General features: G+C 57.4%; 1 protein-coding gene and 1 pseudogene across 1 annotated transcript, besides 7 other annotated features; both read right to left on the bottom strand.

The window, feature by feature from the left end:
• Window positions 1-1,058: 1,058 nt before the first annotated feature.
• On the bottom strand, window positions 1,059-5,659 carry ALPI (alkaline phosphatase, intestinal). The gene is made up of 11 exons (NM_001631.5): window positions 5,546-5,659; window positions 5,347-5,463; window positions 5,117-5,232; window positions 4,739-4,913; window positions 4,490-4,662; window positions 4,113-4,247; window positions 3,945-4,017; window positions 3,680-3,814; window positions 3,404-3,595; window positions 3,064-3,180; window positions 1,059-2,952 (listed from the first exon to the last, which is right to left on the bottom strand). Exons 1-11 carry the CDS (start codon window positions 5,610-5,612, stop codon window positions 2,666-2,668), a joined length of 1,587 nt encoding a protein of 528 aa, NP_001622.2. The 5' UTR covers window positions 5,613-5,659; the 3' UTR covers window positions 1,059-2,665.
• Window positions 9,444-9,955: an enhancer, noted in NCBI's record as "H3K4me1 hESC enhancer chr2:233316567-233317078 (GRCh37/hg19 assembly coordinates)". NCBI's record gives its function as "activates a minimal SCP1, AML or CMV promoter by ChIP-STARR-seq in primed H9 embryonic stem cells {active_cell/tissue: H9 hESC(primed)}" and the evidence as "EXISTENCE:reporter gene assay evidence [ECO:0000049][PMID:30033119]".
• Window positions 9,956-10,468: an enhancer, noted in NCBI's record as "NANOG-H3K4me1 hESC enhancer chr2:233316054-233316566 (GRCh37/hg19 assembly coordinates)". NCBI's record gives its function as "activates a minimal SCP1, AML or CMV promoter by ChIP-STARR-seq in primed H9 embryonic stem cells {active_cell/tissue: H9 hESC(primed)}" and the evidence as "EXISTENCE:reporter gene assay evidence [ECO:0000049][PMID:30033119]".
• Window positions 11,192-11,941: an enhancer, noted in NCBI's record as "H3K4me1 hESC enhancer chr2:233314581-233315330 (GRCh37/hg19 assembly coordinates)". NCBI's record gives its function as "activates a minimal SCP1, AML or CMV promoter by ChIP-STARR-seq in primed H9 embryonic stem cells {active_cell/tissue: H9 hESC(primed)}" and the evidence as "EXISTENCE:reporter gene assay evidence [ECO:0000049][PMID:30033119]".
• Window positions 12,694-13,445: an enhancer, noted in NCBI's record as "H3K4me1 hESC enhancer chr2:233313077-233313828 (GRCh37/hg19 assembly coordinates)". NCBI's record gives its function as "activates a minimal SCP1, AML or CMV promoter by ChIP-STARR-seq in naive H9 embryonic stem cells {active_cell/tissue: H9 hESC(naive)}" and the evidence as "EXISTENCE:reporter gene assay evidence [ECO:0000049][PMID:30033119]".
• DIS3L2P1 (DIS3 like 3'-5' exoribonuclease 2 pseudogene 1) lies at window positions 13,853-19,780 on the bottom strand (annotated as a pseudogene).
• Window positions 14,560-15,059: an enhancer, noted in NCBI's record as "H3K4me1 hESC enhancer chr2:233311463-233311962 (GRCh37/hg19 assembly coordinates)". NCBI's record gives its function as "activates a minimal SCP1, AML or CMV promoter by ChIP-STARR-seq in naive and primed H9 embryonic stem cells {active_cell/tissue: H9 hESC(naive and primed)}" and the evidence as "EXISTENCE:reporter gene assay evidence [ECO:0000049][PMID:30033119]".
• Window positions 15,060-15,561: an enhancer, noted in NCBI's record as "H3K4me1 hESC enhancer chr2:233310961-233311462 (GRCh37/hg19 assembly coordinates)". NCBI's record gives its function as "activates a minimal SCP1, AML or CMV promoter by ChIP-STARR-seq in naive and primed H9 embryonic stem cells {active_cell/tissue: H9 hESC(naive and primed)}" and the evidence as "EXISTENCE:reporter gene assay evidence [ECO:0000049][PMID:30033119]".
• Window positions 17,669-18,306: an enhancer, noted in NCBI's record as "H3K4me1 hESC enhancer chr2:233308216-233308853 (GRCh37/hg19 assembly coordinates)". NCBI's record gives its function as "activates a minimal SCP1, AML or CMV promoter by ChIP-STARR-seq in naive H9 embryonic stem cells {active_cell/tissue: H9 hESC(naive)}" and the evidence as "EXISTENCE:reporter gene assay evidence [ECO:0000049][PMID:30033119]".

Below are 21,425 nucleotides of genomic sequence, written 5' to 3'. Positions count from 1 at the left end.
TTACATGGGTAGACTGCATACTGGTGGAGATTAGGCTTCTAGTGAACCCAATACCCATATAATGAGCTTGTACCCGATAGGTAATTTTTAAATCCTCACCCCCACTCCCACCTCCCTCCTTCTTTTTTTTGAGAGGGAGTCTCGCTCTGTCACCCAGGCTGGAGGCAGTGATGTGATCTCGGCTCCCTGCAACCTCCGCCTCCAGGTTCAAGCAATTCTCCTGTCTCAGCCTCCGGAGTAGCTGGGATTATAGGCCCCCACCACCACGCCTGGCTAATTTTTGTCTTTTCAGTAGAGACAGGGTTTCACCATGTTGACCAGGGTGGTCTCAAACGCCTGACCTCAAATGATCCGCCCGCCTCAGCCTCCCAAAGTGCTGGGATTACAGGTGTACGGCACCATGCCTGGCTAATTTTTGTATATTTAGTAGAGATGGGATTTCCATGTTGATCAAGCTGGTCTCGAATTCCTGACCTCAAATGATCTGCCCACATTGGCCTCCCGAGTGTTAGGATTACAGACGTGAGCCACTGCGCCCGGGCTCCCTCCTTCCTAAAGACCAAAATGCTGACACTTTTGAGATGACAAGAGCTGTCTGTTTTAGGCAATCAGGAAAAAGCTTGAAAAATAATTGTACTTTTCTTGCATCTGCTCCTTCAAGGTAAAGATGTCCTTTCAATGAAAAAATGAGAAAGTAATCATCTTGGAATGAAAACTCATGCCAAAGAAAACATTTTTTAGAACCAAAGTTTGAGAATGTTTTCATTGACATGTGAATTTTGTGGTAAAAAATGTATTTGACTGATAAAACCCTGATCCCTACACATTTAAAAAAACTTGAAAGCAGATTATATATTCGAATCTGTTTTTTAAAATTTAGATATAATTTACATACCATAAAATTCATCCTTTTATTTCATTTTTTAGACACAGATTTTCGCTATGCTTCCCAGGCTGGAGTCCTATGGCTATTCACAAGTGGGATCATGGTCCTCCAATATTTTTGTGACAGCTACTAAAACCCAGAATTAAAAAAGAACTACCCTGAGAGTCAGGCCTTCAAACTGATGTTTTACAATTTTATTTCAAGGTTTTAGTAAATAAGAAAGCATATTGAATGATGTTACTATTTCTTGCAAAAGCAAGATGCTTTTTTGCACCTTTGTAAATGTACAAATAAATTTGTAATACTGCAAAATTTGCTGGAAAATGTGGTTGATTTCACCTTTATTCTTTTCAATGTTCTCTTGGAGCAGGTGTGTACTCACTAAGTATGGCTGTATTGGGATGGGCGCTCCAGAATACTTTCAGAGGGAGGTCAGAAACACCTGGAGTCAGCTCCTTCCCCAGCTTTCACCTGAGCCTGCCACCACCCCCACCCTCTGCCCAAAAGACCAGACCCTTCTCCTGGCAGCAGCCAGAGTGCTTATTTCCCAACCAGGGCAGGTCACAGCCCTCCTCAAAGACCTCCAACCACACCCCTCTAACCAGACTTCACAGTCCCCCATGCACACCCCACTCTCCTGACCCCTCAGGCTTTCCCCACTCTGCCCACCCACCCCCACCCCTCTGATCCAGCCCTTGGCCTCCCAGAGCACCTGCTGACACTGCCCCAGGGCGTTTGCACTGCTGTGCTGCCTTGCTCAAGCCCCCACTCTGTTCAAGTCTCTTGCTCAATCATCTGCCCCTCAGCAGTACCTCCTGGCCTGCGTTATCCACCTCTCCAGATACTGTGCCCACACTCACTCATGATTTTTCTCCTAGGAAGTAGTACTGGCATTACATTGTCTAACACCTTTTATTATTGCTTTGTCTCCTAGGAGAATGGAGACCTTGAGGAGGCAGGGGAGTCTTCCTTGTTGAGAAATCTATGCCCAGCATCCAGATGTCCCGGGAGGGCCCATGGGCTCTGGGTTGCTGCCCTGTACCCAGAGCTCCTCAAGCGCTCCTTGGATCTGGTGACCTGGAATGGGCACTGGGGGGCAGGAAGCATCTGAGTGGCTGTGACTTGGGGCAAGCCTCTGCCTCATTGGTCCCTTGGTCAGGTGCAGGGGTGTGGAATGATCCTAGTGGGGAGACAGCAGAGGACTGTGTCAAAGCCCCCCTGGGAATCCCCGATCCAGTAGCCTCCTTGGGTGGGTTGCAGGGTTGCCGGAAGCTTCTCTTCTTCAGGTGTCCTGATCCACCCAAGTCCTTGGGTCTACCAGGTGCTGCCAGGATTGAAGCTAAGACGGTGGGGCACGCGGTCTGGGTGTGTCGTGTCCCACGATGGGGGACGTCTCTGGGTCCAGGCCTGCTTGGTCTTCCTTAGGATAGAGGCAGGGTGGGGGTTGGGTGGTTTTGGTCCCTTTATTGTCTGGGGTGCAGGCAGCCGCATGGCACAAATCTGCAGTCTCTGGGGTTGGGAGGAAGAATCAGAGAACAACCTGAGGGGAGGTCCTGGAAGTCCCAGGCTCAGCTCCCAGGGCGCCCTGGGCTCCTGCTCCCTGAAGGGGATGCGGAGGGAAGAAGGGCCCCGCTGCGCCAGCTGAGGCTGGTTTATCTCTAGGAGGTGAAGGTCCAACGGCAGGACACCTGTGTGTGTTCGCTGGAAGTGGCGGCTCAGGACGGGGAACAGGGCAGGACGCCCGGAGGTGGGGAGCAGGATAACTCCGGAGTGGGGCACTCAGGGAGCAGCGGACGCCCCCAGCAGCAGCAGGGTCCCGGCCAGCAGTGGCAGCGACGCGGCAACTGGGTGCGCGGCGTCGGTGGTGCAGGCGGGAGGCGCCAGGTCGCAGGCCGTGTAGGGCTCCAGACAGGCAGCGAAGGCCATGACATGCGCTACGAAGCTCTGCTCCTGCACACCATGCACCAGGTGCGCCTGCGGGCCGCGCGCAAACACCGCCACGTCTTCGCCTCCGTGGGTCTCGGACGACAGGGGCACCGCCGCCTGCTGCTGGTAATCGGGGCTCCCTGGTAGGAGGGTGAGTGCACTTCAGGGCAGGCAGGCGGCGTCCCCCTCCCGCGAATGCCCCCATCCCTGGCACCCTGGTCCCCCTGCACGGGCCATTCAGCCTCACTCACCGCTCTCGCTCTCATTCACGTCTGGTCGCACGCCTGAGTTGAACACGTAGCCCGGGCCATTGCCGTACAGGATGGACGTGTAGGCTTTGCTGTCCTGAGCCTTGCTGGGGGCCAACCCTGTAGGGAGATGCGGGTCCCTGTAGTTGAGCTGACCACAGCTGTGGGAGTGCCTCCTATGTGCCAGGCACCGCCACTTTTTGCCTGTTCGGGGGCTCGGTCCTCACAAGATCCCTATAGGGCTGGTGCCAGCATTGCACACTTTTGACAGAGGAGGAAACTGAAGCTCAAACTTCACCCTCATAATTGATGCAGCAGCACCTGCCACTCTCCCCAGGCCTACCGAAGATGGAGCTCCCTCGCAAGGTGTAGCCACCAAAGGAGAAGACATGGGAGTGGTCAGCGGTGACGAGGGTCAGCGTGTCCTCCTCGCTGGTGAGCTGGCCCGCCCTCTCAATGGCGTCGTCGAACATGACCGCCTCAGTGAGTGCCTGGTAAGCCACACCCTCATGATGACCATGGTCGATGCGGCCGCCTGCAGGAAGGCCAGAGGGGGGTGATGCTTGAACCTGCCCTGCCGCGCCCCGCCTTCCTCCACTCCCCAGGGGCCACCACGCACCCTCCACAAAGAGGTAGAAGCCGCGGGGGTTCCTGCTCAGCAGGCGCAGGGCAGCCTCTGTCATCTCCATCAGGGAGGGGTCCAGTGTGGGGTCTCGGTGGATCTCATATTTCGTGTCTCCGGGCTCAAAGAGGCCTGTGGGACAAGGAGCTTGGTGGTGATTGGCAGGCTGTGAGCGGGAGGGTGCTGGCAAATGGGCACACAGGCTCGGATGGCACCCTCTGAGGTTGTCTGAGGAATGCCAGGGCAGGAAGGGGGTCATTACCCATGAGATGGGTCACAGACTGGTCCAGGGACGCCTGCATGAGCTCAGTGCGGTTCCACACATACCAGGCACCCTGCAGGGACAGAGCCAGGCTTCAGCCCACAGCCCTGAGACCCACACACTTGGCCTCCCCCTGCCGTGCCTCCCACACCCACCAGCCCCCATCACCTGGTGCTTTGCCAGCCATTCCTGCACCAGGTTCTTCCCGTCCAGCCTGATTCCATTCTGGCTGGCATCAGCTGGGTACTCAGGGTCTGGGGTCCCCATGGGAAACATGTACTTGCGGCCTCCGCCAAGGATCACCTGAGGACAATGGATGGGGCAGGTGGTTTGGGGGCCTGGCTGGCCCCGTGCCCCCTCCTCATGCATAGCCCCTGGCTCCCCTCCCCAGGGCTGTGGGAATGGCCCAGCCTGTATTGCACATTCTACATCCCCAACTCCACCTCCAGAACCTGCTGACCCAGATCAGGCTTTTGGTTGCCTGGATCTGAGCCTGTGCCACCTTCCCCTCTGCCCAGCCCCAGCCCTTGGCCCGGGGGTCGCACGTCAATGTCCATGTTGGAGATGAGCTGAGTGGCGATGTCCTGGCACCCCTCCTGGCGGGCTGAGGCAGGCATGTCAGCATCTGAGTACCAGTTGCGGTTCACTGTGTGTGCGTAGGTGCCGGCTGGCGAGGCGTGCTGCACCCGTGTGGTGGTCACCACTCCTACTGACTTTCCTGAGGGTGACAGAGGTCAGGATCGGTGACCGAGATCTTGGGCCTGGTCCTGACCCCACAGCGGGCCCCAGCTCACCTGCTTGCTTGGCCCGGTTCATCACGGAGATGACCTCATTGCCGCGTGTCGTGTTGCACTGGTTAAAGCGGGCGGCTGCACTCAAGCCGATGGTCTGGAAGTTGGCCTTGACCCCGCACAGGTAGGCCGTGGCTGTGGCTGCGCTGTCTGGCACCTGTCTGTCCACATTGTATGTCTGCGAACGGAGACACCCTGAGCTCTACTTCGGGGCGGACACCCAGACCCCAACCAAGGACCTGGTTCTGGTCCTCTGGGATCCTAACTGCTCCCAGCTCCTAACTTAGGCCCCAGCTGTCCTGGCTCCCTCCCTCCTGCCACACTCCATATCCTTGATCCCTCTCCTCTGCTTGGAGGACTCTGAGGTGGCCCAGCCCTTACCTTGGACAGAGCCAGGTATGGGAAGCGGTCCATGGCCAGGGGCGTCTCAGGCCCCAGTTTGCCATTCTTCTGCCCCTTTAGGATCCTGGTGGCTGTCACCGTGGGCACCCCCAACCCTGAAGGAGCAGAAATGTGTGAGTCCTGGGCCCCAGGGTTGTCCTGGAACCACTGAAGGTCCCGGGTGCCGGGGCTGTGAGGACTACGGGGCTGGACAGGCCTTGCTCACTCACCATCGCCCAGGAAGAGGATGAGGTTCTTGGCGACCTTCTGGATGGGCTGCAGCTTCTTGGCAGCATCCAGGGCCTCAGCTGCCTGGCGGTTCCAGAAGGCCGGGTTCTCCTCCTCAGCTGGCCAGGGGGAGAGTAGAGATCAGGTCAGCCTGGCTGAGGGGGTGCCCTGTGTGTGGAACAGCTTGGGGAGCCTCATTACCTGGGATGACGCCCAGGGAGAGCTGTAGCCTCAGGCCCAGCAGCAGCAGCACCCAGGGCCCCTGCATGTCTTGGGGGCAGCAGGAGGGAGGCGAAGTGGGGACACCAGGAACCGGCTGCAGCGCAGGCTGCCTGGGTTTAAATCAGGGGAGGACTTTGCCCCTGGCTGTAAATGCTCCACGTCCCTCCCCACACCCCTGGTGTCCATCTTGACCCCGCCCAGTCCTGTGACCTGAAGCCAAGCTTGCTGAAGGGAAGGGACTGGGTGTGGCTCACAGTGTCTTGTGGGAGACGCGTTGCCACTCCTTCATTCACCTCATTCAAGGTGTGAAGAGAGGTGAGACTGGAAACACACAGCCTAGGCCAGGGCCCGGGTTAGGGCTCGTAATGTCACGAGCCCCAGAGGAGTGTGAAAGGAGGCACACTGGGTGGCCTGGCTGCCCTAGAACCCACTTGGTGTATATGGGTGCCCACACCTATGTCCTGAGGACGCAGGCTGGGAAGGGGCCAGTGCTCTGGGTCAGCCAGACCTGGGCTGGGTCTTCCAGAGCAGCCTGTGCACTTGAGGTTGACCCCTGTTCCCTTGCACAGGTAGATGGAGCCTGGGGTGAGTCTGTTTTCCATGGGCCCCGGGGAACACCCAGAAGTGTAGCCTCTGATAAGGAGTTCAGAGAGTTTGGTAACCTCAGGCTGAGTTCAAAAGTATTGCTTCAGTCCAGACATCCCACTCTGAGTGTGTAGCCAAAGGAATGCGAACTAGGGACTCGAACAGATAACTGCACACCCATGTTCCCAGCAGCATTATCCACAGCAGCCAAGAGCTGGAAGCTACCCAAGTGTCCAGCAAAAGAGAAATGGAGAAACCAAACAGGGTGCACACATACAATGGAGTATCACGCAGCCTTGAAAACAAAGGCGACCCTGACACCTGCTACAACATGGATGAACCTTAGGACATTATGCTCAGTGAAATATACCAGTGCAAAAGAACAAATACGCACGAACACACTTCTCTGAGGTCCCGAGGGGAGTCAAATACATAGAGACAGAAGTGGAATGGAGGTTGCCTGAGGCTGAGGGAGGAGGCAATGGGTTAGGGTTGGGGTTAGGGTTAGAGTTGGAGTTTAATAGGGACAGAGCTTCAAGGTTGCAGGATGAGAATGTTCTGGAGATCAGCTGCACAACACTGTGCGTGTACTCAACACTGCCGCCCTGTACACTTGAAAATGGTGAAGGAGGTAAACTTGATGTACCGTGTTTTGTAGCACAATTCAAAAACTGGTTCAAGAAGAAAAGGCTCCTCCAGCTCCACCCACCCCAGCCCAACCACAGCAGCCCCTTCTCCACTCGAGCCTGTTTACCTCAAACCCCAGGCTTGGCCCTCAGAACCCAGGGGACCTCACCTGCTGCCCAGCCTCTGCCTGCCCTGCCCCACTCCCCACCACGCCTAGGGCCTCCCTCAGGCCGAGCTTTCCCGGGTCCTCCTGCCTGCGCCCTCCTGGCTTCCCGGTGGTCGTCCTGGGGCTCTCAGGGAAGATGTCGCTCTCATAGGTCCTTCTTGCCCCCTGCTTGTTGCCCCCTTAGTTTCCTCTACCTCCTGCTTCATCTTGCTGAGTTAGGAACATTCTTGGCTGAAAGTCAGAGGAGACTCACTAATGGGTCTCCTCAATTAATTGATTGATTGATTCCAAAGTCAAGGTGAGTCAGGAGGCTTTATAGCCACCCTGAGTTTCATGTTTAAGTTGGAATTTTTGACAGAACTATAGATTCACAAGTAGTTGTAAGAAATAATACAAGCTGGGTGCGGTGGCTCATGCCTGTAATCCCAGCACTTTGGGAGGCCGAGGTGGGTGGATCATGAGGTCAGGAGATCAAGGCCATCCTGGCTAACACAGTGAAACCCCATCTCTACTAAAAATACAAAAAATTAGCTGGGTGTGGTGGCATGCACCTGTAGTCCCAGCTACTTGGGAGGCTGAGGCAGAAGAATCACTTGAACCTGGGAGGTGGAGGTTGCAGTGAGCTGAGATCATGCCACTGCACTCCAGCCTGGGTGGCAGAGTGAGACTCTGTCTCAAAAAAAAAAAAAAGGGAAATAATACAAGAGGCCCTACGTAGTGGCTCACCCCTGCAATCCTAGCACTTTAGGAGGCTGAGGCGGGAGATTCACTTGAGCGCAGGAGTTTGAGACCAGCCTGGGCAACATGGAAAAACCTCATCTCTACAAAAAATACAAAAATTAGCGGAGCGAAATGGCCTGCTCCTGTGGTCCCTCCACAGGAAATAAATTAAATAGCCTTTGGGTGTGAGCTGAAATTATCTCTCCACCTACTTGGGAAGCTGAGGTGGGAGTATCACTTGAGCCCGGGAGGTGGAGGTTGCAGTGAGTCAAGACCATATCATTGCACTCTAGCCTGGGTGACAGAACAAGACCCTGTCTAAACAAAAAAAAAAAAAGAAGAAAGTACAAGAGATGTCTGTGCACTTTGCTTAGTCTCCCCCAGTGGCATAATCCACAGTTATTATTCAGATTTCCCCAGTGTTACCTGTATTCGTGTGCATGTGTGTGGGAGTGTGTATACAATTTATCACCTAAGTAGGTTTGTGTAACAGCACCATAGTTGAGATGCTGAAGAGCTCCAACCCCACAGGGTACTTTTATAACCAGGCCACCTCTTTCCTCTACCTCTTCCCCTGTCCCTAATCCTTGACAACCAGATATGTGTCCAACCTGGGTGACAGAGTGAGACAACATCTCAGAAAAAGAAAAAAATAAGAAATGCCTTGTGGACTTTGCATAGTTTCCCCACCTTTGGTTAGTTTCACTGCCACCCTAACTTTGCCATCTCCCCTTTAACAAGATAAAGCATGCTTTAGACTCAAAACATCTAAGGAGGCTGTAAGAACACTGCTTTTGGTGTGTGTGGAATACACAGTTGCTTCTGTTTATGGCAAGAGATGGTGGTCTTCCATTTTTCAGTTACAAGTTTCCTTTTCTAATAGACTTAAGGCAAATCTGAGCTTATGTAGAGAAAAATATTCAGTAAATCATACCACAGGCAGTAATGTGGCTACGGCAAAAAGTTGTCAAGGTGATACGTGACTAGCTGAGTGCTAAGAAGCATGGATTTAAAAGAAGTAAATTAAATAGCCTTTGAGTCTGAGCTGAAATTCTCTGTCCACCACTTACTGAGTGTCCTTCAGAACGGAACCTCTCCAAGCCTTAATTCCCTCATCTATGAACGAAAAGAATGATAGTCCTGTCAACCTTAAGAAACAGAGGGAGGCTCTCCAAAACTATGGAGTTTAACTGGGAATAAGCAGCAGCATTGCATGCAGAGCCCCGGCCTTAGTAAACTAGGGGCGCATCGGAGGAGGGGAGGCAAGGGGTGCTTTGAAAGGCGAAAGGAGCAGTGCATGGTCGGTTTTTGGTTTTTGTCTTTTTTTTTTTTTTTTTCTTGAGTTGCTCTGTTGCCCAGGCTGGAGTGCAGTGGCACAGTCTCAGCTCACTGCAACCTCTGCCTCCCGGGTTCTCCTGCCTCAGCCTCCTGAGTAGCTGGGACTACAGGCACTCACCACCACATCCACCTACACAGCTGTTTTGAAAGGAAGAGAACACTGATTCCAGGGGCTTATCCCAGGAACCGGCATAAGTTTATGAGTGGACACAGCGTTATTAGGCAAGTGTTCTTGTGCAGCCGGCTAGCCGTCCTTGTGACTCACATAGTGAGCTGCAAAGTCCCGGCAAAAAATAAAAAATAAAAAAAGGTCTTGTTGCAGGCATCTGTGCCCTTCCCAGAGGCTTCGGAAGGGCTCTGATCATAGGCAGGTGTGCGGGAGGGCCCTCCTTCAGAACCTCCCGGCCGCATGATTTTGTTGTTGCTCTTAGGGTTGGACAGAAGTGGCTCCATTTTGATTCTGACAACTTTCACAGAGCCTGGGTCTCGGGGCTGTTGCGGGGACTTAATTAGTCCAGGGCCTGCTGCAGAGTTAGCAGGGGAGCAGGGGGCAAGAGGCGACCCCTGACCTTTATGAACACGAGGCAAGTCCTGAACATCCTTGAAACCTGTTTCCAAGCTGCGGGTCTGCACAGCACACAGTTGGCCAAATGGTAGCGGAAGCAGCTCCTTCCTAGAGCACAAATCTCTAAATTCCTAATTAAGGGCTGTGTAGGCAGGACCTCCCTCTGGCCCATCCCACCTACCAAGGAGGGACATCCAGGCATTCCTCATGCACAGGAGAACTTGGGTCAGGTACCTGGGGTGGGAACAAGAAGGGACTGTCCCACCCCCAAGGCAGGAGACACCCCAACCTCCTCCCTATGGGCTTCCTGGGGAGGCCTCTCAACAGGCCATGGAGCCCCCTCAGCAGCACAAGCAGGACACTGGGGCCTCAGCCTGTGGGAAGCTGCAGGCACAGGAATGGGCTCAGTGGAGGGGGCACTCAGCCAGGCACCCCGAGCCCTGATCTGGCCACCTCCTTCACCCCTGCCCCCTAATACCAGCAGTAGTGACAGTGGCAGGGGTGGCTGGCAGGTGGGCCCTAGTGAATGGTTGTCCCCTGAGAGTGAGGGACAAAAGACAATTCTGCCCTGAAGGGTGCTTCGGGCGTCTATATGGATGTGTGGAAAGGAAAGTGTATGAAGTCAAGGATGCTGCAATTGTGTTTAGTGGTTTAACTTTGATCTTGTATGACAGGAACCAGGGGGACAATTGTATTCCAATAGCACCCTGGTGAGTTGAAAACCTGTTAAGTTGAATACACTATTGGAGAGTTTTTGTTCCATCTTCTATTTTGCCCTTCAATTTCTGTTGCTTTTTAAATATCTGGCTAAGTGCTTTCCAGAACTGAGCAATGTACTATTGATAAACATTAAGAACACAACACAGCTCATGAACGAGGTTGAGCAAAACTGTTTTTTAAGTAAAATAAATTATTTAGGCCGGGTGCGGTGGCTCACGCCTGTAATCTCAGCACTTTGGGAGGCTGAGGCAGGCGGATCACAAGGTCAGGAGATCGAGACCATCCTGGCTAACACAGTGAAACCCTGTGTTTACTAAAACTACAAAAAAAATTAGCCGGGCATGGTGGCAGGCACCTGTGGTCCCAGCTACTTGGGAGGCTGAGGCAGGAGAATGGCGTGAACCTGGGAGGCAGAGCTTGCAGTGAGCCAAGATCATGCCACTGCACTCCAGCCTGGGCAACAGAGCAAGACTCCGTCTCAAAAAATAATAATAAAATAAAATAAAATAAATTATTTAAATGGATCAGTTTCCCCCTCAAATGATTTTCTATCTGTTAAAAAAACAAATCGGCCGGGCATGGTGGCTCATACCTATAATCCTAACACTTTGGGAGGCTGAGACGGGAGGATCACTTGAGCCCAGGAGCTTGAGACAAGCCTGGCAACATAGTAAGACCCCATCACTACAAAAAATTTTTAAAACTAGCTGGATATGGTGGCACTCGCTTGTATTCCCACCTAGTGGGGAGGCTGAAGTGGGAGGATCTCTTCAGCCAGGGAGGTGCAGGCCTCAGTGAGCCCTGATCGCCCCACAGCACTCCAGCCTCTGCACTCCAGCCTGGTCAATAGAGGGAGACCCTGTCTCAAAAAACCAAAAACCAAAAAACCAACAACAAAAATAAGTAAAATTTCCCCCAAACCATAAGACCCCACAATTAGAGAGAAGGTTCAAAGAGATGATCTTACAATAAGGTTTTAAATCCAGAACCTAAACTCAGGCATGTGGAAACTAATACTCATCATTCCAAGAATCATCCCCTTCTCCAGAACCTTCTTTAACGTGAACATCCTGTATAGCCTCCACCAGGGCTCAAATATTTAATTCACTTCCCCCCTCCCAATTCCCATCCCGACTGCCATTAGCCCCTGAATTCTGTGATTCCAACCCAGGAACCACTCTTTGGTCCGTGCCCGGCAAGGACTGGGGCAGGCTCATGTGCAGAGCTGGCCACGGCCCGGCCAGCGGCACCATCTGTGCTGTAGAACTCCCTGGAGAAAGCCCATCCCACCTGTGACTTTGGTGGCCTATCCCCGCCAGGCCTCTCTGGACATCTGCACTGTCCCCTCTCAGCCCTTCCTCCTGGCACCTGGGCGATCACAGCCCCTCCTGCCTGGCCTCCCACTTCCTGCCTCGTGGCGGTGCTGCTGGGTGGTGGAGCCGCTGCAGTGGCCTCTGGTGCTGCTTCTGCACAGGCCTTGCCTCCTCTGGTGCCCCCTTCCCAAGCTTCATGCCCGTGCCTCCCTTCTGCGGCCTGACATCCTCCTCAGGGGCCAGGAGGCTGCCACCCCAGTCTGTGTGATTCCAGTTCTTTCCTGAGGTCCTTCCTAACAGGAACTGGGGAGGCGTCAGTCTCTCCCCAGGTGGGTGGCTGCAAGCTCTGGGAGCTTCAGCTCCTTCCCCAGGCCAGGTCACTGCCTGCACCATCTTCCCCCTAGGTCCAGGGGGCCGGTACTGACCCTTCAGGGTTGGGACACACTCACTGGCTTCTGAGCATCGCCAGGCCCTGGTCATGGAATGAGGTTGATGGTGTCTACCTCTCCCTCTCTCCCCCACGTTGTCTCCTTGAGGAAAAGACAGTCTCGCTCTGTGCCCGGGCCCTGGCCGGCAGGTGCTGTGGGACAGCCCAGGGAATGACCCTCCTTTAGATGAGGGTCGGTGTCTGGTCACTCTTTCTGTTGAGTCCTTTTAGTGAGGGGCCACATAAGAGGCTGGGCCCCCAGCGGACCCATGGAGAGCCATCCTGTGAATGCGCGGCACCGGATTCAGTCAACCATGTTCCTTAAAGGAGTGAATGCAGACGCGGGGCTCGGTGTGACTGGTGTGGGGAGAAGGCTGGGCTGCCTTCTCTGAGCTCTGGGTAGGGTGTGGCGGCTGCCTGGGCCTGAGCCCAGGTCCTGGCTGGGCACAACCTTGCCAGGTCACTGGAGGCAGAGACCTGACCTGACCCTCGTGGATACGGTTTCCACTTCCCCAGATGGGGTGGGGTGGGCTGGGGCTGCCATGGCCTCCACAGCTCCAGGGACCCGCCATGCTCTGGGGCCAGCACGGAAGGTGAGGCTCTCTGAAGAAACTTTGAGCCCAGCATCTGCTTCCCAAACAAGCCCAGGCAGCAGGAACCCCCTTGTTCACCCCCCTGGCTACTCCTTACTGGGGCCTGGGGGCGCTGGGACATAGGGACAGGTGTCCGTCCGGGTCTGTGCTGCCTGTGAGGGAACAGCTCCCATGCTTCGTGGGAGGCCCTGGGGGACAGGGCCAGCCTGGCCTGAGAAGCCCAGAGAGGAACTTGGCCACTGCTCCTCAGAGGGTGGGCAGCGTGGAGGGGAGGGGAAGGGGCTGGGATGTCTCCTGTTTGGGGCTCTCACAGTCAGGCTGCCTGGGCTGGGGCAGCACCCCACAGCCTTCTCCACCCCAACACCAAACCCCCAGATGCTCGCCTGTCTGTCCCTGCAGATACTTGGCTCCAGGAGAAGGTTCTGGGGACAGGAACAGATGGGGTGACCGTGGCCTCTGGGACATCTCGGGGGTGGCAGGACACACAGACTGAAGGCCGCCTGAGGTGGCTGAGCCCTGGAGGAGGGAAAGGCTCCCAGGGCAGGTGTGGGATGTCTTTGGTCGCCTCCCACAGCCAGCCCCATCTGACAGTGGCAGAACAAAGGCAGCCATAACCAGTCGCTGTCATTCAGGTGCTGCGACGCACTCTGACAAGGGACCCTATTGAGTGTTTCTTTGAAGAAAATTCACTGTAACCAGATCAAATGAGCTTGTTAATCCCGACACCCCAGGAAATGGTGCGGGGGAACAGAGGCCGTGCTCACCATGGCTTTCATCCTAGTTTCTAGCAGCTCTCGGGGACGCCAAGCCACGGAGCTTCCCCCACAGAGGGGGAGGAGTGCAGGCTGGGGTCAGGCTGGCTGGGGAAGGGAATGCCCAGTGGCCAGCCAGCTCTGCCCAGGCCCCAAGGCAGGTGGGATCCATGGGTGCTCAGGACACTGGGTGGGCAACGGGGCCAGGTTGGGAAGGCACTGGAGAGCCCTCGTCCCCTCCCCGAGGCCCAGGCCTGCTTCTGTCCCCAGAGCACAGGATTGGGCCTGGAGCTGCCAGGGCACTGACTCAGACCCAGGGTATAGACAGGGCCATTCAGAGTGTTGGCCAAGGAACTGCGGGGAGAGGGTGTTGCAGGACCTATGACCCCCACCAGGCCCTGCGGAGCTGGTGCAGAGAGGAAGTGGGGGCAGGGTTGGACACAGTCACATGCGTCAGGGTGACGGGGGCGCTCTCAGTCCTGCATACTAATTCCATTTTTAATCAGGCAGAATGAGACTCCGGCACCAATCTGCCACGTAGCCGACTCTGAATCGTGCTGGAACTGACAGGAAGGTTCCGGGTGGTGACATCGGCTCAGCAGTGAGGGGTGGAGCCTGAACTGGGTCCCTTGCCCTGGGTGCAAGGGGCATTCCGCTGCCCAGGCTTCCCAGAGGCGCCCCACACACCAGATGGCACTTCACACTTGATTTTATTCCCTGACACTGATTTGCAGAAAAGGCCCCATTCCCTGGGCTGGAGAAGGCAGTGGGGCCCGGGCAGAAGGGGAACCGGTCTCATTGCTGGCCAGGTCTCAGCCTTCCTTCCAGCTCCATCCTCTCCCCTGCAGTTTGTTTAAAAACTGAGCTGCAAACACTAAATAAAATGCAAAAGTAAAACCAAAAGCAAACCCTTGAGTTGTTAAAACCTAAATTAAAAATCCCCCTTGGTGTCATCAGGTCCTATTCCTAAAGCTAGCGGGGTGGGGCAGGAGGGTTTGGCTGAGCTTGGCCAGCACATCAGACCTCAGGTTCCTTTTCAAACTCGACCTACTCCTCCTCCTCTTCCTCGGGGACCAGGTGGCCCTGGTTGCTCGGCTGCCTCAGGGCAGCACTATACTAGAGGGCCATGGCTGCCCACAGGACCACCTCCACCAGGCTGAAGATGGTGATGACCTGTGCAGAGCCCGGCAGTGAGGGGACAAAGATGGCAGGGCTTGATGACGAGGCGCAACTCTGCCTCCATCCCTGCAGCAGGACCCCCAGGACCCTCCCTTGGCCTCTGGAAGCCTCTGCTCGCCTGTCTGTAACGGGGGCCTGCTCCAGGATGAATGCCCTGGATCAGGGCAGAGCTGGGGAGTCAAATGCATCCTGAGCGCTCCCAAGGCTTATAAAACACAACCTGAGGGCCCGGGTCCACCTTCAGGGCATGTTGTTAGTGAAAACGGTGCCAGACAATTTCTTGCTTGTAAACTCATAGCTTTCATCAGGTTCTCTAAAGGACCCCAGAAGGCCAGCACCCCTGCATTAGCAGGACAGGCAGAGCCCTGCCTCTCTCCACTGTGGTTGTCCCCAAGGAAGAGAAGGTGGTGCCAGGAAGCAGGACCCTCAGGAAGGGTCTGGGTGAGCTGGGAGGGCTTGGGGGTCCTGAAACCCTACCCGGGAGGATGCAGTGCTGGGGGAGCCCAGGGGACACAGAAGAGGGCAGGGGGCACCGCAGGAGGCAGGTGAGGGTTTGCCAGGACTAAGGGGGATGGGACACAGAGGGGGCCACCTGCCCTTCCACCCTGGAGGGCTTTACTGCTTGGAGGTGGCCCTTGGCCCTGGCCCACCCCTGCCTGGCTGGAGGGAGATTCAGGGAGGCCCTGCCAGGCCACCTTCGGCTGAGGCAGCAGGTGAGAGTGACCAAGGGCCAGGGGTGGGGGCTGGGAAGGCCCATGGCTCTGTGTGCTATTGGGGGCAAGTGGTGGGGCGTCCAGGGCTGACTGCACTGAGGTGGGGACAGAGAACTGTGGCGGCGGAGCGCTGCGCCCCCTGCTGGTGCCATCTGTCAGTGCAGGCAGGGCTGGGCCCACAGCAGGGTGAGCTAGGCTTGAACTTCAGGATACAGAGCCCCCAGGGTCCGCAGGGGGACTCTGTCATTCCTCTTCTGCCCAGCTCCCGGTTATGAACACCACGTTTACTGCACACAACGGGCTGGACACTGTCCTCCCAGGGCACTCTGGATGTTAGGAAATTCAAAGCCAGGCACAGGGGCAGGTGGTGACCTGCAGACCCCAGGGCCAGCTGGAGCCAAGCCCCTAAGGCAGCATTAGGACAGGCCCATGTCCCCTTGGAGAGAGAACTGTGAGTCAACAGTCACTCAGGGCAGGAGCCGAGCCAGGGACAGCTCTCTTCCTTGTCTTCAGGGGACACAGTTTCCAGAGCGGCCACGGACCATTCGCTGGCCTTTCATTCCTTCACGTTCCTATAAACACAGTCCCCAAAGCCTGCACACCTTGCCGAGCTGTACTGGCCATGGAGGGGCCTGCTCTCTGGTTCCTGGGTCCTTGGGGAAGGGGGCCAGGCCTGACCCTGGGCCTGGAGCCACCATCCCAGGTGGGAGAGCTGGGCGTCTCAGCAAGGCCCATCAGGTGGGCTTTGTGCTAGGGCTGGGGGAGCGAGGGGTGGAGTGTGACCCATCACAGCCTGTGCCCCTCCAGTGCGGGATGGCTTGGGCTGCCCCGCCCGCCCCCGGGCTCTCCCAGGGCACTCACGTTGCAGTAGATGCGCTTCTGCACGCCATAGCGCAGCACCAGCACGTCGAAGGCTTGCTTCAGGACGCCCATCACCATGGCTTCTGACTCCAGGGGGCCACTCTCCTGCAGGGACAGTGCTGCAGCCATGGCACCTCCTGGCACTGCCCTGGGCTCCTCGAGGCCTCCTGGTGAGCAGGTGCCCAGGAGGGTCGGGAGCCAGAGGGAGGTGAGGGGCACCAGGCTGGAGGGCTCACCTTGACCAGAATGGCAAAGAAGAGACCGGTGCTGAGTTCCTTCATGTGCTTGGACGCCATGCGGCCGTCGTTGCAGTGGTCTGCCTGCTTCTGCAGGGTATCGGGCGCCATGTCTAGTCGCTCCCTATAGCCTGGGAAGAGGGGGCGGGGTCGTGGGCGGTGTTGTATGGGGCATGAGGGTGGAGGGCGGGCAGTGGGGAATGGTGATGGCTGGGGGATGAGCTGCATGGTGCTCCACCCCAGACGACAGATTAGGACCCCAGCACCCAGCTCCCAGGGCAGCAGAAAGCAGCCCTCCGAGGTCAGCGCCCTCCTCTCGGCTGTGTCCAGGGCTGGCTGTAGACCCCCTGCAGCTTCCGCAGCACCGGCCCATAGAGAGAGTTCTCAGGTCGGGTTCCCCTACACTTGGGTCGCCCGACCTTTGGACCTCCACCATCACCGCTGAATGGTCTTGGGCCACCGAGCACCCACTGTGGGTGAAGTGTGTGTACAGGGGCATGATGAGCGCATAGTGCCCGAACTGTGCCAGGTCCTGCAGCAGCCCCGAGCAGAAGTAAAGTGCCATCTGTGGGGCGGGTCAGAGCCTGGCCAGCCCAGAGCTTTCCGACTATTCCCAGAGGTCCCATGCCACCCACAGCTTTGCCATCGGCAGCCTTGGTGTGCACAGACCTGGCGGGCTGCTGGCTGCTGAGCAAAGCCAGGGAGGACCAGGGCCAGGACCAGTGCCCCTTTCTGTACAAGGGAACCCAAGGGGAGGCCAGGAGGCAGGCAGAGCCCAGGGGTGCCCATACTTCTCTCCAGGAGACAAATCTGGCCTGCCTGGGCCTCCCAAATGCCCTCAAGGTGGCAGCACTGAGAATGGCCCAGACATGTGCCGTCGCTGCTGAGTCACTGCTGGGCACCACCAGGAGGGAACCGTCTCTGGTCTACCCCTCCCCAGCATGGGGCTGAGGCTGCTACTCTGGCCCAGGAAGGAGGAGGGGGAAGCCTGTGGCCATGTATGACCGGGGGCTGCAGGCGCTGTCTGCTGGAGACACAAGCAGAAGCTGAGGAGGCTGTGGTCTTTGTTCAAGGAGGCCAAGTCCATTGCTCCATCTGGCTAGAGTGGGAGGCAGGCAAGAAAGCCCAGGATGCCATTCCCTGCCCCGTGCAACACAGGCCTCAGGCTCCTGGCGCTTCCTCTCGGACCTAGGCACACCTTTGGTCGGAGCTGACCTCATCCCCTCTGGCATTGATCCCACGCAGCTGAAGCCACGCTTCACCCCAGCACCTCTGTGTCCCCTGGTACTCCACCCCACAGCAGCCAAGGGAGGCAGTTTCCGGCCTGCCAGCCTCGGCCCTTCTCGTCTCTGACACCTGACCCTCCCGGGGGCTGAGACACAGAGGGCTGAGTTCCAAAGGCCCTTGTGCTGGGCAGGAGGCAGGACTGGGGCAGGGGGAGATACCGAGAGTCTCTAGGGACCAGCGCATAGCCCGTCCCAGCTGGGGCCACAGCCCCTGAAGCTGTTTGTCCTGCAGTCTCCGAGCTTTCAGGGCTGGGTGTCAGGGCCAGTGCTACTGCCTGGGAGCGAGTGAACGGGTTCCTCGCAGAGGTCCAAGGTCACTCCTGTGTGTCTCTCTGGCTCCCTTGCTCCCTGGCTGCTGTACACACTCACCCTCCTGTGCCCTTGGCCAGACAGACAGCCAGCTCCCGTTACTCTGTGCACACGGGCCCTGGAATCCAGGGCGCAGCTGATGGTGACCTGCTCCGCTCCCTAACTCCACTTCCCTTCCAGCCCCTGCTGGGCCCTGGGTTAAGTCGGGGGCAAGTCTCTGGGGGAGGTGGGCACAGCCTCCACTCCCAGACATGTCTGGGCTTTGTTCTCAGTGGTGGCCCAGTTCCCCAGATGACCTGGGTGAGGTTGATGAAGGGCCCTGGCCCCTCTTGGCTGGTGGAGGTGGCTCAGGGTCGGGTGGGATGGGTGGGGACCATGGCTTTCCCACAGGCCCAGCCATCCCTGGGACAGCCCTGGGACAGCCCTGGTGTCCTGATGCAGATGCTCACTGGGGACTGTGTGCCCCCTCACACCTTTCTGTGCTCTCTGCTGCTGCTCTGTCCTGTCCCCACCCCAGTTCCCGGGGCTGAGGAACAGGAGCACCGCAGACCTGGTAACTCTCTGCCATCGGATTCCCGGGCAAGGGCGCCTCTGAGCTCCCTGGGAGGCGAGCCAGGAGAATGCAGCCTGTTCGGGCTCTGGCTAACTCCGGAGCGGCTCCGATCTCTGGAGCTCCAGCTTGGCTTGTACCTCCTTGGAGGTGATGGCGTCAGAGGCAGGGACATGGGAGGGGCCCCAGCAGGGCAGAGCCAGAGGCAGTTCTGGGACTCAGGGGCTGCTGCGCCTTCTCTGCCAGGCCTAGAGCCGCTGCAGTGTAGAACAGAGAGAGCCCAGTGGGCACGGCCCAGCCCCTCTCCGCTGTGGGTGCCACAGGTGCTTGGCTGGGCAGACACTTGTGACTGGGGGCAGGTCACGGTGACCAGGCCCAAGCAGGCCCTGATGGCTTCAAACCCAGCAGAGCTTGAAGTGTCAGAAAATAAATCCACTGAGGTCAGCTGAAGCCATCCAGTTCTTGTGAACAGATTGAATCTTCCGAGTGACCGAGCCCCTAAAATATAGCCTGTCCCTGGCCCTGGGCCGGGCCGGGACCCAGAGCCGACCCATCAGCAACCACTGCTCCCGCTGACCCGAGGGTCCTCTGGGGTCCTGGTCCCAGGATGCTCGGGCCCTGCACGGGGGAAGCTCAGCCTGGGACGCTGTGACAGGCATCCCAGAGCAAGCCCAGCTGTCCACCCCACAGGCTGCCACCTCCCTGCAGGCCCAGGCCTAGGCCCCCAGCCAAGTCCGCTTCTTTCCCACACTGGCCAGAGGCTGACAGCTGGTTCTGGACTCCACGTGGGGATGGAGGCTGCGGAGTGTTCCCTGGGACAGGAAGCCACATGGGACCCTGTCTCTCCTCCAGGACCCCAGCCTGACAGGAGGTCTCAGTAGCCCCTCAGCTCCAGGGCACTCTGTCCTTGAGCGAGTGTGAGCAGGAGACAGCGGCTCAAACTCAAGAGGCTCAGGGTGCCCCCTCCTAGGTGCTGCCTGGGGTCGGCCTCCTCTCCCACCCTCTGGCAGAGGAGGAGCAGCCCCCGTCCACCCAGCCATGTCCAGAGCAGGCAGGAACGGTGGGGGCCTGTGCTTGCACGTAGAGGTCACCGGTCTGGGGCCAGTGTGCTCCCGGGAGTGGGGGAGACTGGGGCTGGGCCCTCCTTACCTGCATGGGGACTGGGCTGGGCCCTCCTTATCTGCATGGGCCGGAAGCACATGTTGGTGAGCACCTCCTTCCAGGCCAGTGAGTACTTGTCATCTCCAAATGTTTGGGTCAGGCTTTTCTAGAAGCAAATCCCAGAAACCTGTGTGACATGTGGTCCAGCTCGGGGAGCTGGTGGTCATCCGCTGAGCACCTCATGCCCGGCTCTGGGGGGAGGAGTTGGCTGTGGGGCTCAGCCCTGCCTCATCTCATGTGTTCCGCCAAGTCCCTGTCTTGCCCAGCACCCCCATGGTCTCCCCTGCACCAGTTGGTCTACACCGCCTTCTCCTCTGACTGGTTAGCTCCTGTGCTGGCTCTCCCAGAGGGGGACCCTGGAGAGCAGGGAAGCACCCATCTATTAAATAATTCACGGCAGCAGCCCCAGAGCTCAGCAGCCCACCCAATCCAGAGAAGGCACCGAGGAAAGATCTCTGCTGAATGACAGGATGCCTGGAATGCTCAGGCAGCCCAGGCTGTAAGAGGGCACCATGCTCGCCCAGGCCATAGGAACCCAGGGGGGCCCGGCCCAGGTCCTAGTCCGAGGACTCCCTGGGGCATGTGGCAGTGGTGAGTGGACTGAGGACCCCACAGGGCCAGGAGTGCTGGGCTCCCTTCTCCCTGGGGATGGTGCCTTGTTGGAGGGAAGCCTCCCGACAGGGTCTCTGAGGGTAGACAGGAGAGTCTGAGGCAGCAGGAGGGAAGGAGTCAGGGTGGGGTGAGACCCTGGAGTCACCCTTTCAGGGCCTGTTGCTCCAGCTTTGCTGTACTTGAGCGTTGTTAGACTCAACAGTCGCTGTGAATGAATGTGGCTCCCGATGGAAGGACTGAGCCGGCCAAGTCCCTCGAGATCCAGGCGCTGCTTTCCTGTTGCCCCTCCTCCCCCAACATGGCCAGCCAGGGGTCTCCCACACGTGTCCTGTGAGTCTCACTTCTGCCATCAATCCCATCCCCTTGCCCCGCTCCAAGTCTTCCCTGAATGTCAGACAGAATTCTCTTCCATGGGCATTTATAGCTAGGGTCACGTGTGTCACTGTCTAGTGCCATTGGAATCTTATTTAGATTTCATACTTACATCTTGTCAGCCCAAGAGGAGTCCCAGTTCCTGCTGGAAAATGGCTCATGTAATCTATCTTGGTTGGGTCATCATCACCGAAAAGCATCAGATGCATAGTTCATTCATTCATTTGTTCACTCATTCCACAAAGATTACCATGTGCCAAGCACGGTTCTGGACTTTCTCCCCACGCAGTCGGACAATCCTCCTGGGCAGGAGCACCTGGGCTGTTCCCTGGTGCCCCTTCCCCAGCCCAGTTGCAGGCCTGGGGGAAGAGGGACACCTGTAGCCTCCAGGCCGACCCTGGGTTGCATTTTGAAGTGTGGCCAGCAGGTGGCAGCATGCCCCCATACTGGGTCGCTCCGAGGCTGCAGGCTAAGGAGGCCACCAGGCGGGCAGGGTGAAAGAGCAGGGCTGTGCCGGGCGGCCCCGGTTTCTCCTCTGTGCCCATGCCCCACCCTATGGGTTTAGGAATTGAATATCTGGGGGCCTCTCAGGGCTGAGCCAGGCTCCTGCTCTCAGTTCCTGCAGGCGCTCTCCACATCCCTTCTCATGATCTTCAGTAAACACGAGGACAAGGACAGGAGGGAGGGGACAGGGAGAGGGTGGGGCCGCTGTGGAAGCCCCTGCCAAGACCACAGACCTCAGGCAAGCTGCTTCCCTGGCAACTCCACTACCTG

Source organism: Homo sapiens, chromosome 2 (genome assembly GCF_000001405.40).
Source record: "Homo sapiens chromosome 2, GRCh38.p14 Primary Assembly".
Classification (NCBI taxonomy): domain Eukaryota; kingdom Metazoa; phylum Chordata; class Mammalia; order Primates; family Hominidae; genus Homo; species Homo sapiens.
Note: the sequence above shows the minus strand (reverse complement) of the source record. Positions and strands in the feature narration are given on the sequence as shown.